General features: G+C 38.5%; 1 protein-coding gene across 2 annotated transcripts, besides 1 other annotated feature; it reads left to right on the top strand.

The window, feature by feature from the left end:
* Positions 391-440: an enhancer, noted in NCBI's record as "active region_6058". NCBI's record gives its function as "activates an Ori minimal core promoter by ATAC-STARR-seq in GM12878 lymphoblastoid cells {active_cell/tissue: GM12878}" and the evidence as "EXISTENCE:reporter gene assay evidence [ECO:0000049][PMID:35858748]".
* ART4 (ADP-ribosyltransferase 4 (inactive) (Dombrock blood group)) lies at positions 8,309-26,266 on the top strand. Of its 2 annotated transcripts, NM_021071.4 has the most exons (3): positions 8,309-8,865; positions 10,682-11,390; positions 22,373-26,266. In NM_021071.4, exons 1-3 carry the CDS (start codon positions 8,722-8,724, stop codon positions 22,462-22,464), a joined length of 945 nt encoding a protein of 314 aa, NP_066549.2. In that variant the 5' UTR covers positions 8,309-8,721; the 3' UTR covers positions 22,465-26,266. The 2 variants fall into 2 exon arrangements, with proteins under 2 accessions (NP_066549.2, NP_001341575.1); NM_001354646.2 differs by lacking the exon at positions 22,373-26,266 and having other exon boundaries at positions 10,682-11,850.

Raw genomic sequence — 26,458 nt, 5'->3', positions numbered from 1 at the left:
ATGTTATCCAAGCTGATCTCAAATTCCTGACCTAAAGCCATCCTCCTGTCTTGGCCTCCCAAAGTGCTGGGATTACAGGCATGAGCTATAACTCCCAGCCCATAATTCGTTATTGAATGTTGCATGCTGTGCATAGAAAAACAATAAAGACTGAGGTAAGTGGTATCTATACCCTGAAACAGACACATATCTTCTTCTTTCAGGCAATTAGTATGGGAGTTGAGTCAAGCTAGTCAGTAGTTGAGCTGGGTTTGGGTTTTGTTTGGCTCTAGTTGCCTTCAGTGCACCACAACTTCAAATTCCTCCAGCTGTGGGTTGCTTTTACCTTGTGTCTATTGTGGAGTCTGAGACACCTGAGGGCTTTTCTCTGTTTCTGTTCTGTGTTCAGCTTGCAGCAGGCCCAGCATGCCCCTCCACAGACATGCACCTCCCTCTGCAGTAGTCTAGTGTTTCTTGCTTGTTACTTGCTGCCAGGCTTGTTGTAAGGCAGGGCAAGGGGTTTCCCTGGTATAGCCTCAAACTAAGGAAGGACTCTTGTGCCTGGGCCATGGCCTGGGGCTTTCTCAGTACTCCTCCCCTTCCTCCATCTTCCCTTCTCATCCCTGCAGCAAATTCTGCCTTGTGTCTAAGAAAGGTCTTGCATGGAGAGTTTCTACTCTGCCCTGGTGATGGCTGACCTCTGTGCTTTGTTTGATTGCAGGTTCCTGAACCAGACAAGTGCCCTTCACCCTCCCCCCAGGGCACATGGCTTTTGCTTCAAATAACAGCAGAGACAGAACAGCGAAGGCTTTGTACCTGCTTTCATCTCAGAGAAGGAATCTCTCAGGTCTCCTGTCCTGTCTCCAGTCTTTCTTGTGAATTCCCCATGGAGGCTTATGGAAAAGGATTTGAGAATGAGTGTCTATTCTTCTTGAGTCTAGATCTCTAGAAGATTCTGAACTGTCGCACTAGCCTACACTGGACCTTTAAGAATTTGTTAAAATTTTGGCTGCTTATTTTTTACCCACTCTTAAGACAGCTGCCCCTTTCTCCTCTACTCCCACAAAGATGTAGCAATTCATGTGCCCCATCTCTCCTCAGAGGGCCTGTTGCCCTCTGAAATTCAGTTAACCTGGTTGTCTTGTGACCTCGGCTTTTTCATAGATTCAAGAAAATTTGTGATTTTATAAGTTATATAGCTTTTCCTCTCATTTTTAGGCTAGGGGTGACATGCTTTAAAGGTTTCTATATCCTAAGTGGAATGATTCGGATACGGCTGGCAAACTCAAATGCCTACAAAGTCCAGGCGGAGAATATACATGATCAAACGAGTCTAAGGGTGAAAGGTGTGAATTATGAGTACATGAAGAATGCTTGACTACCTGAGGGCATACAAATATTTTTTAAATTATGCATGCTAAACCAAAAATGTCTTTAGAATTCAACTGACAAGTTGAATTTCCTAATTAAGATATTAGCAGAATTATGTGTTCAAACCTGGTTAAGCAGAACTGGTTGATCGATAACTAAAAAGAGCTTTAAAATGCATCATTTTCAATCTAAAAGGAAATTCTTATTGTCACGGCCAGCAGTCGCTACTGAGTCCTGTGCTAATTTTAATATTTTAAGGTTTGGAATGAAGATATGAAAAGAAGAGTATTCTGGTTTTCTTTCATGAAACTAAACCAAGAGTTATTGCTAATATACTTCATATTAAGATTCATGAAGTGCTTGACAGGTTAAAATAAAGAGACTTAATATGCATAAATGTAAGGTTCTAAAATTGGGCTTGATAAATCTACTTCAACTTTACAGGTGCATAGAATTGGTGAGAGTTGACTTACTAATAGAAGTTCATATGGTAATGACTTATGATTTCTATCACGTGCAAATTCAGTGAGTCAAAGTATGACATAATTGCCCCCAAAAAAGCTGCTTTGCCTTAGGTTATAATAACATCAGTGGAAGCAAAGTGTTCAGAACAAAGGAAGCCTTTAGTCCCACAGATTAGACACATGTGGAGTGTCTCGTTGCTGTATTTTACAAGGGTCATGGGCTTACTGGAATTCAGAAAGAGAAAGATGGCCAGGATGATAGTCTGGAAACTGTGCTCTCTGAGGAAAAGTTGAGTCAGAATGTTGAGTCTGGAAAGGGAAAACTTGGAAGAACAGAATAGCATCTTCAAACATTAGAAAAGAGCAGTGAGAGAGACTTGGCCCCCGCAGACCAGAAACATTCTAAATAATAGTGAATGAATTTGGATTCAATGAAACTGATGTAGTAAGTGTTATTTGATATGTTATTACCTTTGGGGTAAGGTGGACTGAAACATTTTCCCCTCCAGTCAGTAAAAACAAAAAAGTAGTGATTAGAGAAGTGTGATTTATGTTTGTACCATTCATTATTAGTCAATGCAAGAAGATTGTAACATGTCTCGTAGCAAGGGAGGAGCAAAATCTCTGTTAGCAGGAAGCCAGCGTTATGAATTTTATAAGAATATGATCAATTTTATGTTTATGAATGTAATATTAATTTCTCAAGTAGATGAGAGTTTTTTAAAGAAAATCAATCATTAAACTGGTAGAATGGATTTAACTCCAGATACTCATGGAAGCTAAGAGGAGAACAGCTATAGTACAAATTTAGAACCCACCGTATCCATAAAAAGGTAGCTCACTCTTCCCACCTCCCCAGGAACAGTAACAGACAGTGAAGCCAGGCTATGTTTTCCTTCACAAAGAAGCTACAGCTGAGTGGAGGAGAAAAGCCATCAATTTCTAGTAATGAATAGAAGCTACAAATTGTTCAAGATACAGTCAGACAGAAGATGCTAAAAGTTAACTTTATTTCTAGGGAGTAGCTTGTGATCCAGGGAAAATAGGGAGTGGGGCAAGAGCTATTATGTTTGGCAGGATAATAAGTTAGAAAACCTTCAAAAGGCAGACTTCTGAGCCACACGAAGCATTTACTCACCATGATCTATCCAGAGAAAAGCAAGGTCCATCTTCCCTGAATTGTGCCCCTCTGTCCAGTATAGTAGAGACACATGGAAATGAAAGAAGGGGTTTGACTACAGGGTGCAGATAAAAAACCTGGTAAAAAGGCCTTCAGTTTGTTGTCTCTTAGTGAACAAAATAGAAATGTATAAACAAAGGATTATTTAATATAAAGCCATTATAACCAAAGAGAAGTAGCTTAACTTCAAATTAAGCCTGGGCGCTAACTTAAGTGTAGAAGTAAATTTACAACCACTAATCCATGGAACACAGAGAATTGCTGCTGCCAGTGGTGGGAAACCTTGGTCTGCTTAGCAAGCTCAACGTACATGAGAAACAACCAAGGATTCCACCAAAATGAATGCCAAAGTGGGGGAGATGCTGAAAATAGAGGAACACAATGCAATAGAAAACTCCAGATTTTGAAGCAATACTTGCCCCCCCAAAAAAAAGATATATTGTCACACATACATGTGCACACACACACACACAAATTTTTTTGTGCTGCTCTTCCTTGCTTAATCTCTCGTTTCTGCCATCCTGTTTCCCATAGATGCGCCCACTCATTCCACCTCTAAAAGCTCAGTCCTGCCCTGTGTGCAGACGGCCTCACGTGCAGCCTCACAAGCCCTCATGCCTCAGTGGGAGCCGGGCCTGGTGCCTGGGCATTGGATGCTGGGTCCTCTCAGTCACTGCTCTTTTCATCGAGGAACGTGATCCCAGACTTATCTGGGATCACAGCTCCTCCCTAGATATGTAAGTAACTTCCAGTTCTCTTAGTCCTGACGATGCCTCGAAAATTTTAGAGCTTCTACTCTCCACTAAAAATTGATGATTTGGAAATTAAGAACCCATTTCTAATCCCCATTCTCTAGTGAATTAATGTGACTAGTACTCTCTTTTTTTAAATTCCCTTTGGGAAATGGAGCTTTTTTTCAGAATCTCCTCCTGACTGCTAGGCCCCGTTACCATGAGCTGACTTTCAAAATTGAACAGATCTAAGTTCCTAGAGAGCTGGGACCATATCTGGTTGGTTATGGCTGAATCCCCAGAGCATCATGCACAGCTCATGTTCAGCAAATATATCATTTTCAAATGTGTGAAAGGATGGCTACTCCCTTACCCTGTATTCCCAATCACTCTGCTCTACCCAAGGGTTGAGACGGTCCCTGAGTTATGTCAGATCTTCTGCTGCCCATTGTGTCCCCAGGATTTGGATAGACTCAGGCATAGTCCTTGGGCAAATGTCTTTTCTGTGAGCCTGGGCCTCAGAACCTCCTATGCACCACTAGGAATTCTGCTCTATCTCTCCCAGAATAAATGGCCTTCTTGGGGATGGTACCCAAGCTACTGAAATTTGGAAGCATTTATTCATTCACTCATTCATTCAACAAACACTTACAGAATGTTAGCCGTTGTGAGAGCACATGCAGCAGAAGTTGCTCTGTCAACAATGTTGAGGAAATTCACAGAGGAGTGTTGGGGATGACGATAAGGAAAACAAAGCTCTTTCCTGACACTAAGATCCTATGCTTTTAAAGAAAAAGGTGAGAAAAAGAAAGGGTAAATAACATAATCTGATGATCAACATATAACCAAGCAACCAGATACTATAATAAAGCAATTGCTTTAATAACTATTATTGCAAAAGGTATTGAAACAATAGATGCAAATGTCTCCTGAGAATGGTAAAACTTCTCCCTGTGATTTCCCTGCCAGAACTGCATAATCTGAATCTAATTACCAGGAAATAATGTGCAAGCCCCAGTTGACAGACATTCCACAAAATAACTGGCCAATGCTTCTCAAACCTGCCAAGGTCAAAAGGCACAATAAACACTGAGGAAGTATTGCAGCTTAAAGAGACTACAGAGACTTGACAACTAAGTGCAAATTGTGATCCTGGGACGAGACATAAAGGACATTATAGGAACAGTTAATAAATTTGACTATGAACTATGGATTAGATAACGATATTATATAAATGATATTTGTAATTAACTGTGGTTATATAAGAGAATGTCCCTGTTTTATGAAATAAATGCTGAGGTATTTAAGGGTAAAAGAGCATGATATTTGCAATTTATTCTCAAGTTGTTTAAAAAAAGAGAGAATGATAGAGCAATTGGGGTAAAATATTAACAACTGATTAATTTGGAGAGTGTATCGAAATTCCTTCTACTCTTGCACCTTTTGTGTAAGCATGAAATGTTATCTAAATAAAAAGTTATAAAAATGTGAAATAACTGAGGGAGCTTTGCTCACTTCTGTAAGAGTGTTAAGAGTTAAGAAGGAACTGATAAGTTAAAACGTAGATAACTCAAACCCATTCTGCCTACCAAATTATGGGGTCACTATCAAACAACTTTCCTGTGACTAACAAGTACTTCTGGCAATAAAACACTCCTATTAAATTTAGACACAGATCTGAAGGAGTTCAACAAGATCCAAACAGGAACTACTAAAGGTCATTGCCAAACCTCAAGGACGGTAACAGAAGATAAGTTTCCTCCCTGGGAAAGGCCCTCTAGTGAGTACTGCAACCCATTCTCTGAAAGAAGGTTTAGAATAGTCTAGAATATCTAGAATTTATTCCAGAAAATAGATCTGGAAAATTAGCGAAACCTCTTCTTAAACAGCTGCTTAAAAAAAAAAATAAAGTTAACTTTCACTGTGTTGGACACCCTATGAGTTGTTGGTCTTTCATTTCATTGTCAACAGAACCCTGCAAGACTGGTGTTACCATGTCTACTTTTACATATGAAGAAAATGCAACTGAGAATTAGTGTAATTTGTTCCAACTCACAAAGGTAGGAAGTGATGGAAGTAAAATTCCAACACAAGGTCTGTGCTACTTCAAAACTTATATCCCAACCCATCAAGACAGCACAAATAGGCTGCATTTTGAAGAACTGGGTATCATTAAATGATAACTGAATGCACCCCAAACTCTAAATTAACTAATATTAAATTATTACATGAGAATCTTAATAAGATAGCCCTTAAGGCAAAAGATGACTTTTTATTGACTCCAAACAATCAGAAAACTTAACTTTTCATTTTAATTCAAATATGTTCACATATACACCAGAACTTGAGCTTTTCCCTACCCCAGTTGTTTTCACTGATGGTTCTCTCTCTCTGTCTCTCTCTTTCTCTCTCTCTCCCCACCTTCTCTCTCTCTCCCTACCTTCTCTCTCTCCCCTCCCCTCCCCACTCTCTCGCTCCCCTTCTCTTTTGCTCTCCCCCTCACTCTCTCTCCCTCTCTCCCTCTATCTTTCTCCCTCTCTCTCTCTCTTTCTATCCCCCTTCCTGCTCCCTGCCCCATTCCCTTTTCTGTTCTCCCTCTTTTAGACTGAGTGGTATAAAATGTTACAAAGTTTTCTGCTGCCCTCCAGTGGTCTTATCCTGGAAGTGGCAGTCACGATAGGAAAAATAGCAAAACCTTTATAGAAGATAATAATAAAATGACACACTCTTTTAGAGTGTTTTAAGATCGTGGGCTTCAGGAGACAGAAAAGCACCTGTGATTACTAAAAAGTTATTAAACTTCACAGGGCCTCAACAACCACATTTATAAAGGAAAGGTTAAAATATCTCTTCATGGTCGTCCCATGGGTTGAGATAACATGCAAAAAGGTCTTGAAGTACAGTACTTGCTCAATAAAAGAAAAGTTTCACCTTATTTAAGCCTGACAACTTTCTATAAGGTTAAGGAAACTGAGGCTAAGCACAAATTACTTATTTTTTAAAGTTACCTCAGCCAGCATTGTGGGTAGAACTCAAACTATAATTCAAATTTTCATATTCTAAGTCTAGTTCTCTTCATGACATCTCAATATTCCAAAGTAACAGTTGCTAATAAGGAACCTTAAGAATTGTTAAAGTCTTAAAGGGATATTTTCACACACTGCTAGTGGTTGCCATTAAATCTGAAAAATATGCATTCCATGGATCAGTAGTCACATCTCTAGAACTGCATCTTAAAAATTGTGAGAAACACACAAAAATTTATGTAGTTGAAAACAAGCTAAATATAAGATATTTATTAAATAAACTTTGGTGCAAATAATAATAATTGGTTTTATTTGTTGGAAAATTTCTAGGTGCCAGATGCTATTCTAAGGAGTATGAATGTATCAACACTAAAATGAAGTTGGTACTATTATTATCTCCATTCAACACATGAGGAAACAGAGAGACAGAGAGGTTAAGTAGCTTGTCCAAGATCACACATTTAGGAAGAAGGAGCACCAGGAATTGAACTGAGATGTCTTATTCAAGAGTCCATGTTCTAGTCACTTATCAATCTTCTTCTGAGACTGTCCATGGATCCACCCATGCTGTCCCATTGTGTGGCAGCACCTATGTAATGGAATATAGTGAACCTTTGTTTAAAAAATGTTTCAATAGGTATTAAATTATATAGGGACATGCTTACATTAAAATATTAAGGGGAATAAACAGTATGCAAAACTGCATACTATATTATTTCAGTTCTAGAAACCTGTGTGTGTGTATGTCTAAGGGTGTATAAATCAAAATCCAGACCTAATTAGTGGCTGTCTCCAAGTGACGGGTTATGTGTCATTTTTTTCTCCTTTGTGCTTTCTAAATATTCTGAATATTTGTTAATGAGACAGAACTGCTGTGATCATCAGAAAATTTAGATTAAAAAAATTCAGGGTGCCAAAAAATTCTAGAATACTTAAGAACAGCACTTAGTTTACCTTAAAAGTTAAAAATTGAATCCAGAAGTAAATATTTGCAAGAAAAACAATTATCAAGGATTGCTAACTTTTAGTTTCTTAAATAATGAATCCAGAAGTATAAATACAAAATATTTGCAAGAAAATATAATTATATCAAGGGTTGGGAGGAGAAGAAGGATGTTTAGACTAGAAAGGGTAGTACCTACCTAAAAGAGAGTGCTTAATAGAACTGTGCTGGATTAAGTTTGCACAGTGGACCCTATTTTAACTTATGTCAGCTCTACATAAGCAGTCTCCTGACAGTCGTCATTAGGATTCACTGGAGACTGGAACTGTGCGGACAGAGGGCCTGTCTTCAGAAGAGAAAATGGGGGAAGAGCTTTGAACCCAGAGGTACAATCTCTGGATTGGAGAGTTTCAAAGGTGCCAGGGAAAAGCAGTACAAAGAGCCTTCTTTTTGACAATAACTCTAAAACACACTTTGCTCTGTGAACGCCCGTCCTGGGCAGGGCCTATCAGCAGGGCCAGATGAGCCTATAGACACCCAGGGTGGCGCGTTCCCAGCCGCCCTGCGCATGCCAATCTTATCAGTTTTGATGGAAGCCTGGGGCTCCAGATAATGCTACTTGGCCCCAAACGCTGGACAGAGCATGCTTTTTCCTGTTTGGCTGGGAAAGGGAAGGCTGAACTGCTGAGTCTGACACTTAACAGGACTTCGGCATTCCCCTGAATACAGACTAGATCAGAGATTTTATTTTTTTAATTGAAAAGTAACTTGGGTTCTCTTTAGAAACCCTTATTTGGTGTGCGCATCTGGCTATTTCACAGAGATTTCAGTTTTGCAAAGAAGTCGGAGTTGATTTCTTCCCTCAGACAAGCTATTGGTTGTTGGTGGGCAACAGAAGTTGCTCAGCATAGACAGGGGAAAAAACGGTTACGGATGAGACTGAAAGAAAACCTCAAAGGAGAACTCTGAGAATTCATCTCAGGATGAAGCTGCAAGGGCAAAGGAGAAGTACTTGTGACACAAGCAAATGGGTCCATTGATCAACAGATGCAAGAAGATTCTTCTCCCAACTACTGTACCTCCTGCAACGATGAGAATCTGGCTCCTTGGAGGCCTGCTGCCATTCCTGCTGCTCCTCTCTGGCCTGCAGAGACCCACAGAGGGTTCTGAGGTAGGGGGACAATTGAGGGGGTGATCTCTTTATGATCAGTGCTCCAACAGAGCATTCACCCGGCCACAGCCTTTAAATGGCCGAAAACTTAGGCATTCAGAATCTAGTTTCATTCAGACATTTTAACAAATCATGTTAGTAAAGAGTGTTGAAAACAGTTATGAAAAATTGTAGAATCCTTCACTGTTAGTACACTTGACATTATGGATGCTAGTGGCATAAAGTTATTTTCCTGATCCACTGTAAAAATTAAGTAAAATATTGCTTCCATAGTACAAACAATGCAAAATAAACCAAGTCTATTTGGCTTTAAACTCTAGCATACAGATTGACTTAAGTTTTAAGTGAATATTTTAATAAAGATCTGTGTAACAAAAAACAACCTAATGTTAAGAGATGACAGAGTACATATTTGAGATCTAGTAACATATTAACAAAGTTTCAGAGTTCATCATGACAGTTGACAGAACATTGTATTATTGGTTTGGTTTGGCTCGGCTTGGCTTAAATAGATACCGTAGACCTATTTTAATACCTGATGTGAAGAGTTATTGGTTAAAATCATTTAATCAGTCTTAAAAATGTGTTCTAGTTCACAAACAACTAGCTGACGTCTCATCATAAATAACATAGTAAAAATACCAAATGGGATGTTCTTTAAGTTCCAGTTCCAACATCCTTAACATTGACTGGATGGAATGTGATCCTTTAACATGTCCCTCAATGAGTACTGTTTATTACGAAAACATCATTTCTTTGCCAAGAAAGGAATGTTTTAGAATTTATATAATTTATATATGGCTCTAAATGATAGTCTGATGATATTTTGTGGACTTCTATTCAAATCTGTCATTTCAGTTTAGCATGCACTAGACGTGAATAAACAACATTCTGTTGGCTACCCATTAGAAAGGAATGTCCTTTTCCAGGAGGGGAGGGACTTTCCTAGGCACATTCCTGACCACTGTCCAACCCTTGACTCACTCTGCTGTCCCTGAGGGGGACAAATGTACTTGACTGGTAACATGGGAAAAAACAACTGGGTGTGCTGAGTTTGGCTCTGCTCTTCATCCTCCTGGGAGTTAGCCTGATGGCAAAGGGCATCAGTTCTCTGTTTCCCCATGACAAGAATCTTACCTGGGCAGGCCCCAGTTCAGTACTGCCTGCAAACGAGTCGGTCCCATTCTGGAATTTGCTCTTAACAAGCCACTTGCTATCAGACCTAACAATGTGACTGCTGTAGCGTGCCCTTTTTCAGTAAGAAAACAGATATTTTGGCTTTCATATTTTGCTATTTTTATTATCAATGTTTTCAGAACCCAGGTAGACAAGAAGGTTGTTACTTATGAGAGCCCCCTTAGTACTATTCATAGCTTAAGGATAAAGTTCAAGGATTTAATTTGGTTTTGGGCATTCATAAAAGTGATATTTTTGAAAACACCAGTGAGAGACTAGAAAGAGGGGGGAAAGTAGAGGAAACAGAAAGTGTAATTAAACTACAAGATTTTGAATTTTTTCTTCAAAGTACTTACTATGCAAACATGCTGTGATTTTAGTGATATTAAAAGAGTTACTTCCTCTCTGGGGAGATGAGTTTTTCAAGCTTTCAGTAATTTATTTATCAAACCAAATTCAATCTCTAGCACAGGTCATTGATGCAGTAAGGATTGGAACAGTGTAATGATTTTCAGTGTAACTTACTTCAGTAAATATTGGTTTCCAGGAGAAGACTTACCCTTATAGAGTACAGCAAATCTGCAACCACATTCACCATCTGATTTGAAAAATTAAACTCAAGATTTTTCTTTTTTTACAGGTTGCAATTAAAATCGACTTCGACTTCGCACCAGGTTCTTTTGATGATCAGTACCAAGGCTGTAGCAAACAGGTTATGGAGAAACTAACTCAAGGGGATTATTTCACAAAAGACATAGAAGCCCAGAAGAATTATTTTAGGATGTGGCAAAAAGCCCACTTAGCCTGGCTTAACCAAGGAAAAGTTCTACCCCAGAACATGACTACCACACACGCTGTGGCTATTTTGTTTTATACATTGAACAGCAATGTTCATTCTGACTTTACTAGAGCCATGGCCTCTGTTGCCAGGACTCCACAGCAGTATGAACGTTCATTCCACTTCAAATATTTACACTACTACCTCACCTCAGCAATCCAGCTGCTGAGGAAAGACAGCATCATGGAGAATGGCACTCTGTGCTATGAGGTGCATTATAGGACGAAGGATGTCCACTTTAATGCCTACACAGGGGCCACCATTCGATTTGGCCAATTCCTCTCCACATCCCTCCTGAAAGAAGAGGCACAGGAGTTTGGGAACCAGACACTATTTACCATATTCACCTGCCTGGGTGCACCTGTACAGTACTTCTCCCTCAAGAAGGAAGTCTTGATCCCTCCCTATGAGCTGTTTAAAGTTATAAATATGAGCTACCACCCAAGAGGAGACTGGTTGCAGTTGAGGTCAACTGGGAACCTGAGCACATATAACTGTCAGCTGCTAAAAGGTATTCTTTATCTAAATTGAGGCCACTCAGGATCACAGACCACTGCTCTTTTATAAAAGTTATTTTTTCTCAGTGGGTTTTTGGGGAAAGATCAAAAACATGAAAACTAGCCTTCGGTAATGATGGAACTGATAGATTAGAGAAAATCCACTTTATTTATTGACTTCTCTTTTCTTCCTACTCCATTACCTCCAGGACAATAAGTTCTGCAGTGAAATTATTATGTAAAAAATTGCAGACAGACAGAGTAAAGCTTGACTGGAAGGTGGAGCATAAAGATAGCACTTTTACCTTCTCCCTCAAACTCATTGCTTTTCTCATTGTCATTACATGGATAAGGAGTTCTAAAAGTAAAGCAAGAGGCAAGATATTTATTCATTAATTTTCTGTTCATTAATCATCTTCTATTGTGATGGGGGCCCTGGAAATACAGAATGAATAAAGCAAAATTATAACCTAGGAGGATTTTTAGTCTAACGAGAAATGGAAATATGAACAAATGTATACACTCAAAAGTACTAAGTGATATACCAAATATTTAAGCAAACAGCTGTGGCTGCTCAGTGCAGGGAGCTACTCATTCTCTCCAGGAAAAGTGAGGAAGGCTTCATAATAGCCATATGGAACTTGTCGTGAGAATGGGGGTTTTCAATGAAAGAAAAGTCATTTTAAGCAAAGAATACCTTGCTGTGGTTTGAATGTGTCTTCCAATAAGTTCCTGTGTTGGAAGCTTAATCTCCAATGCAACAGTGGTATGAAATGGGCTCTAATAAGAGTTGATTGGACCTTTCCTAATAAGAGATGATTGGATAAATGGATTAATGTTGTTGTCATGTGAGCAGGTTAGTTATTGTGAGAGTGTGTCATTGTAAAGAGAATCTGATCACTGGAGCCTCTCTCTGTCTTGTGTACCAACTTCTCTTCCACCATGCTATGGTATAGCATAAAGGCCCTCACCAGATGCTGGAGCCATGCTCTTGGACTTCCCATCCTCCAGAATTGTGAGAAATAAATTTATTTTCTTTACAGATTACGCAGTCTGTGATACTCTGTTATTGCAACAGAAAACAGACTAAGACACAGCATATGTTAATCACAAGGATTTCAAACAGCCTGGTGTCTTCAGGGACTCTGAAATTCTGGATGGCTGGTGTGTAGGATGTGTAGGATATGGGAAAAGAATAGGAGTAGGAAGGGAGGAGGGGATTTATCCAGGTAGGAGAATTCTGATGGGGCTTCATTATAAAAGGTCTTGTATTTCATGCTAAGGACCTTTTAATTTTATGCTGTAGGTAATAAGAAGTAATTAGAAGTTTTTAAGGAGTAGAAATCAATTTGGTCAACATCTTAGAAAGGGCTCTGATGACACTGTGAAAAATGAACTGAAGCAGGAAAATTTAGAGATATCAAAATACAAAAAAAAGTTAAACTTTTTTTAAGAAAAACATGGCTGATTGAATTTTATGTTGCCACCTAGCCATTTCATGGAGGGGTAGTTGTGTAGCAAATCCTGTGCCCTTTTTGATTCAGAAAAAAAAAAAAAAAGACTGTTCATATGTAAATTTATTCACACTCACAGTCAGCTGGAACCCAGTTGCAGGGTCTACCTTCAATATATCCCCAAATTTGTCTTCGCTTTATCATTATTGCTATGATTTATAATTCAGGCTCTCAGCATTTCTCAACATTTCAGGGCAGTAGTGTTGCAAAAGTGTTCAAACTGGCATCCACACTGAGGTCTAGAATCTGCTCACTCTGTCCTAGCCATAAATACAGACCAGGGAGAGGAGACCTATCAATACTTTCATCTCCTCACATGTCACCTTGGAAACATGGCAGCAAAACGAGTGAAATGAGTATCTGCCCCACAGACACAGGAGATTAGTGTTTGTAGAGGATGAAAAACTATAGTAGAATATGAAGAAAACAGTGAGATTTTGATAATAAATGAAAACATTCATAGCCAGGTTCCAGGATTCTTTGGAACTACACCTGACTAGGATATGATTACTTCATTCTCATCATGAATTTGGAACATATAATTCTTCACTAGGATAGTAAGCACAGTAAAATATATTCAATGAAAAATTACAGAAGATTTATATTAAGCATTGAGTGGGAAACTGAGGGAAAGGAGTATATAATATAAACCATTACTCACATTCTGCCACTCTATAAACCTCAAAGAAAAATATTTCAGGACACCCCCACCCAAATTAATGATCTTTGCTTTCCTATGGCGAAACTACCCAAATGCAACTTTAACTTAGTTTTGAGTTAAGGTTTAGCTGGGGTAGCCACATAGATCACTAAATTCTGACAGTTCGGTTGGTCTTAATGAAATATTTGGAATCACCAATCACACTTAAGGGAATCAATAATCTTGTGTCGCTCTATAAGCTCCCTGGGGGCAGGAACTCGACTAGTATTTGAGGAACTAGTATTTGAGAACTAGGCAGGCAGGCAGTTTGAGCCCAGACCCACTCTGTTTGAATTTATATCCCACTGTACCACTTAATAGCTATGTGTTCTTGGTCAAGTTGCTTAAACTCTTTTTTCATCTACCTAATAATTATCGTAACAGAACCTCAGAAGACTTTTGTGAAAATGAAATAAAATGTAAAATTATTGGCCAAGTGCGGTGGCTCACACCCGTAATCCCAGCATTTTGGGAGGCCGAGGTGGGTGGATCAATTGAGGCCAGGAGTTTGAGACCAGCCTGGCCAACATGGTGAAACCTCGTCTCTACAAAAAGATACAAAAAGTAGCCAGGTATCATGGCACATACATGCAGTCCCAGCTACTGAGGAGGCTGAGGTAGGAGAATCGCTTGAATCCAGGAGGCGGAGGTTTCAGTAAGCTGAAATCATGCCACTGCACTCCAGCCTGGGCGATAGAGTGAGACTCCATCTTAAAAGAAAAATAAATAAATAAAATTATTTATATATTCTATAGCATATAATAATGGTAAATTAGTGTTAGCTATTACTAACTTCAGTCCTCTGGCACATAGAAGTGCCCAGCCTATTTTGTTGAATGAGTGAATGAATGATGGTGAATATACCTCTAAGCAATCTGAGCCTTAGACTACATGACCATCTAACACAATTAATTAAAAACAGTTCCAATATTTGAAGAAGGGAAGATATTCTAGAAGCTTCAACCCCTAGTCAAAAGTAAGCTGTTGTCACAATGTAAATGATCAACATGGTCACTTGCAATGTGAGTTACCGTAACTAAATTTTTCCCAGAAATTTATCAATTAGAAGCTTGTGTGGCCATGCAGAAAAGCTTGTAAACGGCAGAATAAAAATACCACTGGTCATGATGTGAATCATCCCGTTGTTTGGGGGATCCACAGTCTACACTGTGAGTCACTTAGTAGCCCTCTCAGTGATCAGATCTGCTGTCTCGGTATTGCAGTGTTTGTTTTCAAGTGACCCTCATTTTATTTCATAATGGCCCCAAAGTGCAAGAATAGTGATCTTGGTGATTCAGATATGCCCAAGAGAAAGTGCCTCCTTTGAATGAAAAGTTTAAAGTTCTCAACTTAATATTTTCTTTATAAATTGAAGTGAAGAGGGAAGAGATAGGTCAGAGGCATCATATAATCAGCCAAGAGCTGGAATTGGAGCATTTTCTCACCCTCCACAGCTACGAAACTATCTGGGAAGGTAAAAGAAGGAGAGGAATAAGCTCACATTGCAGGGATGCCTTTCTTCCTTTGATCCCAGACTCTGACTAAGGGTTGCAGAGAAGGCTGGTCCATCCTCTGGTTCTACCTGACCTACCTAAGCCTCATCTGCCATTGGCTAGTTAGCATCACAGTCATTTAGTTGAGGGCAAAAAATTGCAGTAATGCCCCCTTACCTATGGTTTTGCTTTCTCTGGTTTCAGTTACCCGCAGAATATATTAAATGGACAATTCCAGAGATAAAGAATTCCTAAGTTTTAAATGGTATGCCATTCTGAGTGGTGTGATGAAATCTTGTGCCTTCCCTCTTGGGATGTGAATCATCCACAGTCTACACTGTGAGTCACTTAGTAGCCCTCTCGGTTATCAGATCTGCTGTCTCGGTACTGCAGTGTTTGTTTTCAAGTGACCCTCATTTTATTTCATAATGGCCCCAAAGTGAAAGAATAGTGATCTTGGAGATTCAGATATGCCCAAGAGAAAGCGCCTCCTTTGAATGAAAAGTTTAAAGTTCTCAACTTAATAGAAAGAAAGAAAAAATTGTATGCTGAGGTTGCTAAGATCTACTGTAAAAATGAATCTTCTACCTGTGGAATTGTGAAGAAGGAAAAAGAAATTCATGCTAGTTTTGCTGCCACACTTCAAACTTTATCATTGATGATATATATATATATGTATATACATACATACACATATGAAAATAACATAGGGTTCACTACTACCTGTAGTTTCAGGAATCCACTGAATGTCTTGGAATGTATCCACTAAGGATAAAGGGACACTACTGAATACAGTCTTGGACAGGACACAATATCTATCTCTTATGATTTAAAAAATGTTTGATTGCCAGCCAGGTGCAGTGGCTCACACCTATAATCTCAGCACTTTGGGAGGTCGAGGCAGGTGGATCACAAGGTCAGGAGATCGAGACCAGCCTGACCAACATGGTGAAAGCCGTCTCTACTAAAAATACAAAAATTAGCCAGGAGTGGTGGCACGAGCCTGTAATCCCAGCTACTCAGGAGGCTGAGGCAGTAGAATCACTTGAACCCAGGAGGCAGAGGTGGCAGTGAGCCAAGATCGCGCCACTGCACTCCAGCCTGGGCAACAGAATGAGACTCCGTCAAAAAAAAAAAAAAAGTTTGATTGCCTTCAGAATGTTTTCAGTTATTCGCTACAGTGTTGTTTGTTTGTTTCTTTGTTTCTTTGTTTTTCTCTCAATCAGTAAGCGAAGGAACATCAGAAAGGTCCTTAAAGTGATTTATTTTAACTGATAAGTAGTACTTACCCCAACATTCTGGAGCAGTATTGGACTGAGCCATACATGAACAATAAGAGGAAGGAGGTAGTGTGTCTTTCTTATCTGGGATCCTTAACAGGGAGGAAGTAAGATCAGTGGACTCTCCCCAGACCCAACTTTCTAGATAGCTACCATTTCCCACTTCACTGCTCCACTAACCCCAGCCTAGGGAATTCACAGATGGTGTTCTGGAACACTGATATCTAACTCCTCACGAAACTGTAATCTTCTCTGGACACTATTTCTCATTCTTTCAGCTTCGTTTTGTTTCATGAGCAGGAGCCACAAGCTATTCTGTGTCCCCAGAAGTCCCTATAAGCCAAGTGAATTATGTTTTCTCTCCTGTTCCCTCTCAATCTGACAGACGTGATACTGGAAAGACCACTTGAAGACCTTTAAAATTACCCAGCAGCATACTGTAATTCTCCCAAAGAAGAGACAGTATATTTAAGAGCATAGCTTCTCCAGTCCTTCAATTTATGCTAAAATCAGTCCTGTTAGCATGTAACTCAAGTTTAAAGAGTTTCCAGGAATCTGTTGCTTTTAGAGAGACAAGAGATCAAATTAATAGAATTATACTATTTAAGGAAGTAAATTTGCAAAAGGAAAAATTGTCATTCTAAACTAACAGCTTTCCTCTCTAATTATTCCATCACCCCTCACATGACCTGTACTGGTTGCCATAGAAACAGGTGTCTTCATGCCCATTGGAAGACTCAAAATATGTTAACAGAATGTTAGTTATTTGCCCTTAAATCTTGCTTCTTTCAGCAAAATAACCTATGCCAAAAATCTGTAGACACACAAATACATGCTCTGTTCTATATCATTGGATTCACAAAGAACAGGGATTTATTTGTTAAAATGTTTCACATAATCAAAATTCTTAACATGTTTCTAGAGAAATATAGGCAATTGTTTGTAGTCAGCCTGGTTTTACATGTAAACTTCACTTTTTAAAAACCTGTACGATTCTAGTGGGGAGAAAATGAATGAATGCATGTAAAATCTCTTAGAATAGTATCTGACAAATGTTAAGTACTCAAAACTTTTAAGATACTATTATCATTATTATTATTTATTTTATTAGCTTTCTATTTTGCCTGTTTTCTTTTACTCTGGGCTTCAATTATCTAAAATTAGTTTACCCTATTTGTGGCATCACAATGACCTTGAAGTAGAGTGTCTGTCTCAGATAAATGGATGAAAGAATGAGTCATTGAATAAATCTGGGAGACCACACGGCATGGTGGAAAGTGAATAAACTTTGGAGCCAGAAAGATTTGGGTATATGTTAGTAGCTAGGTGACCTTGTGCAAATGACTTAACCTCTGAGCCTGTTTCTTCATTTATAAAATGGAAGTGATACTCATCTTGTGGGAATGTTGTGATAGCATTGGTGTCTCTGCCTCCTTTCAAACACAACTGAGAAACTCTGGGAAAGTACTTTGCACATGGAAGTGGGATAATGGTTTAATGGCACAAGCATGTGCTTCAGTGAAATTGATAGTAAGAAGAGAAACAAAGGAAGAGGCAGAAGGAATAACGCTTTTCATTTTCGGGTGCTAAGTTTTTGCTAGGTAATATTCTACAATATTAACACTCTTGCTCCTTGCATTTTGACAGAAAGAGGCTATAGATAGCATTTGCCTCAAACACTAGACTTGGTATACTGCACGTCAGCTTTACCTTTTTCTGTTTAAGGACTATTTACTTCTGAACAGTCTGATAAAATTCAGATTCAGACTTCATGAAATAAAAGTTATAATCATTATGTATTTCTTCCAGACTTTATACCCTAAGGCAGAGATGACCAAAATCAGGTTATAATACACTGATAAAATGATATTTGTTTGGCAGTTTAGTTTACAAAACGCTTGGACACCCATTATCTGTTTAGTTTTCACAATCACCCTGTAAGTCAGGTTATTGACTCCGCTGTACTGATGTGAATGCTGAGATTCAGAGAGCTTAAGGGATTTGCGTAAAATTATTCATAGTTTACAAATGACAAAAATAGGATCCTTCCCCATGTTTTCTAATAAGAATTCCAGGACAATATTCTCCATAGACTGGTTTCAGGGGATTCATCCATTCTTCAACAAATATAGCTGAGAAACTACCGTTAGTTTTAAGCTTCTTGACTATGACTGTTTACATTATAAATCAGTTCACACACACATAAATATGCAAATACACACATATTCATAAAATACAACAGTTACCCTTTTCATAGGCAGTGTTAATGCTAGTGTTTCTATTCTAACTTATTTTATTACATTATTAAACAATGATGGCTATGACCTCCTAAGCTGATGTCACAACCCATCAATTGATCACATTCTCCAATTTTAAAAATCCTGTAAAAAGGTAAAGAGAAAATTAAAAACTTTGAAGAGATAGTTGAATAGAAAACTAAAGACAACTACAAAAGTAAAAAAAATGTGAGGTATCCTCAAATAAAACTTTAGTTTGTAATTAATGCACAGCTGTCTTTCATTTATTTTCCTAAATATATGGTCCATGTAACAACAATAATAATAATAATGCCAGGTAGAAATGATAATGGCCATAAAAGAGGTAGAGAAAAAGTATCAACAGAGTTAGTTACTTTAACCTGACATAATAAAATCAAAAGGAAGCTATTTTTAACATCCTAATTATTATAAAGAGGACTTATGAATTTTTTTGAAGAATGACTATGATTGCAAGACAGTAGTGTCTATGTGTTTGTCTCTTATTTGGGTATCATCATAATAGCAGCTATTATTCATTCATTCAACAAATCAGTATTTATTGGTCACTTGTTATTTGCTAGGCACTATCCTAGGTGCAGGGAAGGAAATAGGTGAAAATCCCTGCCCTTGGGGATTTACATTCTATTGATGTGAGGCAGAAATAAACAAAATAAATAAGTAAATTATGTCGTAGTTAGTAGGTGGTACATACTAAGATGAAAAATAAAGCAGAGTAAGGAGACAGTGAACACTATGGGAAGGAGTGGCAATATTAAACTGGGTGATCAGGGGAAACTTCACTGAGAGGGTGACATTTGAGCCAAGGTTGAAAGGAGATGAGAGAGCCAGTCCCATGTATATCTGAGGAAAGAGCATTCCAGGAAGAAAGCACAGCAAGTGCAAATGTCTCAAGTAAGAAGCAACAGCAAGGATGCCAGTGTACGGGAATGAGAGAAAAATAATAGAAAGCGAAGACAGAAGATGATGTAGATTCGATCACATAGGACCTTGAAGGCAGTTGTAAGGACTTTGGCTTTTCCTCTTAGATAGGATACCACTGAGAGGTTTTGGGCAGAAAACATAGAAGATTGTGTCAAAACTGACCTAGCAGCCCAGTAGAGGATAAACTGTAATGAGGTAAGCAGAGAAACCAAGTAGGGGGCTATTTCAATCATTCAGTTGAGAGATGAAGGTGGTAGAGTGGAGGCAGTAAGGTTTGACCAGATTCAGAGCCAAAAGGAGGTCCTGACACACTGGAAGTGAAAAGTGAGGGAAAAAGAAGAGTGAAGAATGACTCCAAGGTTTGGCTAGAGTAACTGAAAGGATGGAGGTGGCACTCACTGAGATGGAGAAGCCTGGGGATGGAGTAGATTTAAGAGCAGGAGTTTGGTATTTGACATGTTATATCTGAGCTGTGCAATAGTAACCCAAGCAGAGATGTTGAGTGGACAGTTGATGCACAAGTGTAGAATTCCGAGTGACCCAGGATGGAAAGATAAATTTGAGGTCAGTGGGTTATGGGTGGTATTTAAAGCCAAGAGACTGGATGAGCTCCCCACAAAGGTGTATAAATAAAGGAGAGAAAATGTCCAAGGATCAAACCTCAGGACACTCCCATTTTAAAAGGTCAAGTACAAAGAAGATGGAGAGGCCAGGTGTGATGGCTCACACCTATAATCCCAGCACTCTGGGAGGCCGAGGTAGGTGGACTGCTTGAGCTCAGGAGTTCGAGACCAGCCTGGGCAATGTGGTAAAACCCCGTCTCTACCAAAAATACAAAAAAAAAATAGCCAGGCATGGTGGTGTGCACCTGTAGACCCAGCTACTTGGGAGGCTGAGGTGGAAGAATCACTTGAGCTGATGTTGCAGTGAGCAGAGATCACACTGCTGTACTCTAGCCTGGGTGACAGAGCAAGACCCATCTCAAAAAAAAAAAAAAAAATGGAGAAGGAATGGCCAGTGAGGGAGGAGAAAATTGATAGAGTTGGTGTCCTAAGAGCAAAATGAAGAGTAAGTATCAAGGAGGATGGAGTGATTCACTACCATAAATATGGTTGATAGGTCAAATACAGTGAGGACTGAGAATTGACATTACATTCCAGGAAGCTCAACATATAATCTCTTAAATCAGACTCTCTAGGTTAAATACTGGCTCTGTCACTTACTGTGTGGCCTAACAGAGACCCTTAAGCTCTCTAAATACTGGGAAAGGGTGGGACTGGAAATCCTTGTGATCTTTAGCCTCAGTGAAGAGGAAAAAAAAACAAAAATCGTTTGAGAACCATTCTAATGATTGACCTGCTAAAGTGGTATTAAGGCTTCCTAAGTCTCTGTAGGGATTCATATAATTTGATTTTAACACAAACTTTGACAAAAGTTTAGAAAGACATATGCTCTTAATTTTCCTTGCCAACTCTTATTGGTGAAAATTGAGGTCTTGAAAATTACTGTATCTACTCCAGCTTGGTGACAGAGTGAGAACTCCAACTCAAAAAAATAAGACAGAAATTACTGTATATATATATATATATATATATATATATATATATATATATATATATATACATACATACAGTACACACATACACACACAGAGTAATTTCTGTCTTTTCTGTCTTGGAATTTCTACTTGTATACACACACACACACACACACACACACACACACACACACACACTCCTATATAGAAATTCCAAAAAACTAAAAAATGTATATATTGTGTGAAAATAGTAGAAATGTATTTCTCCCTCATCTGGTTATCCTATCAAACAATATGAGCAAATATTGAGGCAATTAGAGTTGAATCTCTTCCTCCCAGAAACATCTTTTCTACCTTAAACAATAGTGAAAACTGGCTGCAAAGAGATTCCAGTCTTTATTTAGACTATTTTTTACAGGGTTTCCATCTCCCATCTCATTTCAGTCCCCACCCCATTATATGGCCAATTATTAGTTATATCTGACAATATTTTTTTTTATTTTCCAGTTTTGCTTCCACACCTAACTGGCTGCTAACCTGTCCCACATTTCCTGTGAAAGGTGTATATGTGTAGTTAGAACACACACACACACACACACACACACACACACACACTCCAAACAGGATTGTGTGAATATTTCTTGCTCACCTTGTAATGAAAAATTCTATGGATGGACATGTAATACACAGACAAACAGGTTAGTGGTTAAGAATGCAGAATTGAGACAAACTGGCCAAGTTTGAATGGTGCCTATACTATTTACAAGATGTGTGACACTGGCAAGTTTTTTCTCATCTCTGTGTCACAATCTCATCAAGTAAAAACCAAGGATATTGAGAATAAAAATCTCATAGGTTTGTTGTGAGGCTTAAGTTAATATATAGCAAGGGCTCGAAATAGATCCTAGCACAAAATCAGCATTCAGTCTGTGTTAACTTTCATAATGGTGATGAAGATGATGATAATTAAGATGGGGATAATGCTAACAGTGATTATGCTGCTGGTGATGATAAAGATGGAAAATTAGATCTCTACCACCAGCTGGCTGGGTTACCTGGGAGTACATCTTTTAACCTCTTGGTGTCTGTTTCATCATCTGCAAAATAAGCAAGTTATGTTAGAAAAATCTAAAATAATGTGTTTTAAGTAGCTAACTTCAAATGTTTTTATTAGGAATTTTCTAAGTTAAGTAAGTGGATCAATGGATAGATGAGGTAGTTTTAAAAAAAACTCTGCTACCTAAAATATTTCCTTTGTTTTGTTTTTTACAGCTTCCAGCAAGAAATGCATCCCTGATCCTATAGCTATTGCATCTCTCTCCTTTTTGACCAGTGTCATCATCTTTTCCAAAAGCAGAGTATAAAGAAATCTTGTGGCTCCTTTTATTTAAAAAAAATATTTAAATAAAATCTTTTTTATTGGCCTTTTGGCTAGAAATGGACATTTATTTTCCAGGAAGGATGATCCCATCATACTTCTGCTGAAACCAGTGCATGGCCTCCTCTTTGCTAATTCTCTTATGCCTTTCCTTGTACCCCTTTGCCTTATTTCAATCTGGGCACCCTAAGTACTCTTGGGGAAATCACTCTGCCCAGCTAGCAACTGATGCAGAGCTGGCTCAGCCCACTGACTGTGATTGGCCTGTAACTCAGGCCTTAGCCAATCAGTATATTTCTTCTTCATGGACACAAAGATTCATGCTGGAATAGAAAATGATCCAATCAGAGCCTGTGAGATACAATCAGGGTACTTTTGTGGAATTGCAATTGGAAATAGAATGGGAGCTTCTTTTCTGAATGGATATTAATGAAAGCAGGGTAGGAGCTTATAGCTGCCAGCAAAGATCCCGCCACCAGGAGAGGAGACCCCATCTCCTTGAGAAAGGATCTAACACAACAAAGGAAGAGCTGATAAGTGAAAAGAAACTGAGACCTGATGAGAATGTATAAGCCTCTGGATCCAACTTTGCCTAAAGCTGAATACTACAAGATTTTTCATTACATAAATCAATAATTTATGTTTTTGCTTGCATAATTTGAATTAGATTTTCTATGTCAAGCATCAAGCAGTTGAAGTTCCAACGAATACAAGCACTCTTCCTTATTTTTTTTAATTTAGTTATTCTAAATAGGAACAAATCAAAGAAGATTAAATTAGAAAGCAAAGGACAAATTCTTCACCAAACAGAAAAGCTTTGAACCCCAGAGATTAACCAAGGTGTGAATTTTCTTCAGAGATTTTTTATGAGCATTCAAGATTAAGCTAGTATGGCCTCAGATGAGAAGACACATGGAAACTTGAGAAATAAAAGGGAAAGTTAATGAAAGATGTTAGTGAAATTTCATTCACCAGCAGTAATGGGTGTTCATGCATGTTCCTAAGACATTACAAAAGTTAAAATTTAAACTCATATGTTAATTCATAGAGAACTTGATGGCAAATTTAAGTCTTCATAGCAAATTTAAATATTAGGAAAACATGAGGGTATGTGTGAAGGTTAACAGAGAGTATGAGAGAAAAAAACACTGATTACAAACAAATATCAGCAATATAGCGAGGTCTCATTACATGTAAACTAGTACATGCAAAGAAGTATAAATTGTTGAATTGTATAGCTGGAAATGTCCTCTAACGCTTCCCTCAGGTAGTAATTTAGGTAGCGACATAAGGGATTATTTAACCCGATCACGATCACTGAAGACCCTGGTATCAGGCTAAATGGAGTAAAGATGAGGGCTAGCTCTATAATTTTGGATTTTGAAAGTCCATGCTCCTTATCCCTTTTAAGATTTGGATAAGAAACAGCAAAACTGAAAATCGGTCCATCTATTTACTCTCCATAGGACTTCCTGAATGGCCTGTGTCATGATCAAAGAAATGGAATGGGGAATAAGCTACATAAAATTACCTGGCAGGGAGTTCAGGCATCTCTGTACTATCATTCTTTAAATTGGGATTTGAAACTAACAGGGCCAAATCACCTCTGTCACCTAGTTGCAGTAGCCTCTACAGTCAATAAAGGAAAGAATTTCTGCCAGGCATGGTGGCTCACCCCTGTAATCCCAGCACTTTGGGAGGCCGAGGAGGACGGATCACGAGGTCAGGAGTTCAAGACCAGCCTGGCCAGCATGGTGAAACCCCGTCTCTACTACAAATACAAAAATTAGCCAGGCATGGTGGCACGCACCTGTAATCCCAGCTACTTGGGAGGCTGAGGCAGGAAAATTGCCTAAACCCAGGAGGCGGAGGTAGTGCAGTGAGCCAAGTTCACACCACTGCACTCCAGCCTGGGCAACAGAGTGAGACTCGATCTCAAAAAAAGAAAAAAAGAAAGAATTTCTACAAACAGACAATTTATGTGACTTGCATAGGATAGGGTCTTTGGCAGTTTGGTGGCTACCTAGTAGAGAGTCCTGGGGACATGGCTCTGGGAGCAAGCTTTTCCAGTGAGCATCGATGAGTCAGTAATGACATGCTATGTTGGTAAAAGCCACCCAACATCTTAAGTACATTTTTCCTGTGCCATATAAATGCATGTATTGAGCCATACTGTGTACAAAGCACTTTGGGGATTAAAAGTTAAGAACACTAGGCCAGATCTCTCATGAGTTTACAATCTCTTAGGAGAAATTAAGAACATAAAGCAAGCCACAAGTGAAATGCCAAAAAAAAAAAAGGCAAAAATCAAGTTTTCTGTTCATAACAATTCAAAAGAAAGATTTCTTCCAACTGAGGCAAGAAGAGACACCCGGAAGGCTTTAAGTAAGAGGCTGCATTTGAACCAGCCGTTAGGGCTCTAGGCTGGGAGAAGGGGTGAGCAGAAGGAGAAAAAAACAAGAAAGAGTATGTGCCAAGTGCGTAGTGCCCAAAACAAGGCCAAATATTAAATGCTTGGAGCTGAGAGAAAAATGTGATTCCTCTGGCCTATGGTTAGATAAAGCTTTCTATCAGAGATGATGTTTTACTTAGAGGAAAGCAGAAAATAGAAGCGAATACGGAATGATCGATGTATGTACAGCATAAGGTCAGGGAGCAGATAGGTCTGGCAGAGAGTGAGGGGTAATGTGGGCTGGAGAGGAAATTGGAAGCCACTCAGTGAAGCTAAAAAGTCAGCCAAAAGCATTTGATTTCCATGAGAAGTCATAATTTTCTGAGTAAGACAATTCTCCTAAAGCGTTGACTCTCTAGGCACAAGCAGCAATAGCATCCTTTAAGAACTCATTAGAAATGTGAATTTTAGGGCCTGATCCCAGACTACAGACTACAGAAATTGAACAGTCTGTTTTAATAAGTCCTCTAGATGATTCTGCTATACACCAACATTTGAGAACACTGTGACTTACACAATTATGATCCTTAAGGGAATAGCCAAGTTTCTAAAAAAGATAACTTAGTTCTAACTCCTGCTGCTGTTTTACAGATCAAATCTCTGGAGACAGAAACTATTCTCTTAAAATTATGTAGATTCATGAGTTTGGTTAAGGATAAATGTACATAGCTCACATCCCCTCAGTCTCTCCCTATAGTCCAAAGTTGTTGAGCAAGGAATCTGTAGAGTATTGATTTAAATTGATTAAGTTACATGTTTATGAAACTCTAAGAGACTAGTTTTAGAAATTTCACTGTAATTTCTGCTGGGATAAATTTGTTAGCCTGGGATATCTTCCAAAGATAAGGCGGATGCTCAAATATGTGTAAATTCATGCAACTGTTAACAGAGACTGTGCTGTAAGGAGTACTTATGTCCTATAGTAATTTTATTAAACAAATACATGTATGTCTCCTTTTGATGTGTACAGAAATATACTGTTTAATCTGAAGAAGCTGATTGAAACAGGAAAAATTTAAAAAGTAAAAACACTCAACCCATGTAATACTTTATTTTTATAACAAGGTGTTCTCTTTAATACGCCTATTAGATTATCCTGAAGTTCTCTATTTACTCTTACTTTAAAAAAAATCCAATGAAAGAAAATTTCAGTAAAGTTTGTTTTGCTAGAAGAATCAGGATTCTTGTACTGAGTTGTCTAATAATATGAATCAAATTGATTTACACTGAATGAACTAGCTCTTGATTTGGTAAAATTCAACAAGCATTTATTAGGTGCTTTCAGAAATACCAAGATGCAGCAAACACTGGCAACTAATAAAAAAAATTACAAGTATAATAGTATTTCATTTTTTTTAATAGTAAATGATCATGTGTTGTGTTGTGTGGCAGTTCACTTTTTCCTCCCTACTGATGATTCATTCAAACAGCTAGGCCATCCCATGCTCACAGCCTAGAGGAGGAATGAGACCAGGCATAGTATAGAAACACACCCCACTTTGTTCTTCAAAAACTGAAGGATATTAGA

Source organism: Homo sapiens, chromosome 12 (assembly GCF_000001405.40).
Source record: "Homo sapiens chromosome 12, GRCh38.p14 Primary Assembly".
Lineage (NCBI taxonomy): Eukaryota > Metazoa > Chordata > Mammalia > Primates > Hominidae > Homo > Homo sapiens.
Note: the sequence above shows the minus strand (reverse complement) of the source record. Positions and strands in the feature narration are given on the sequence as shown.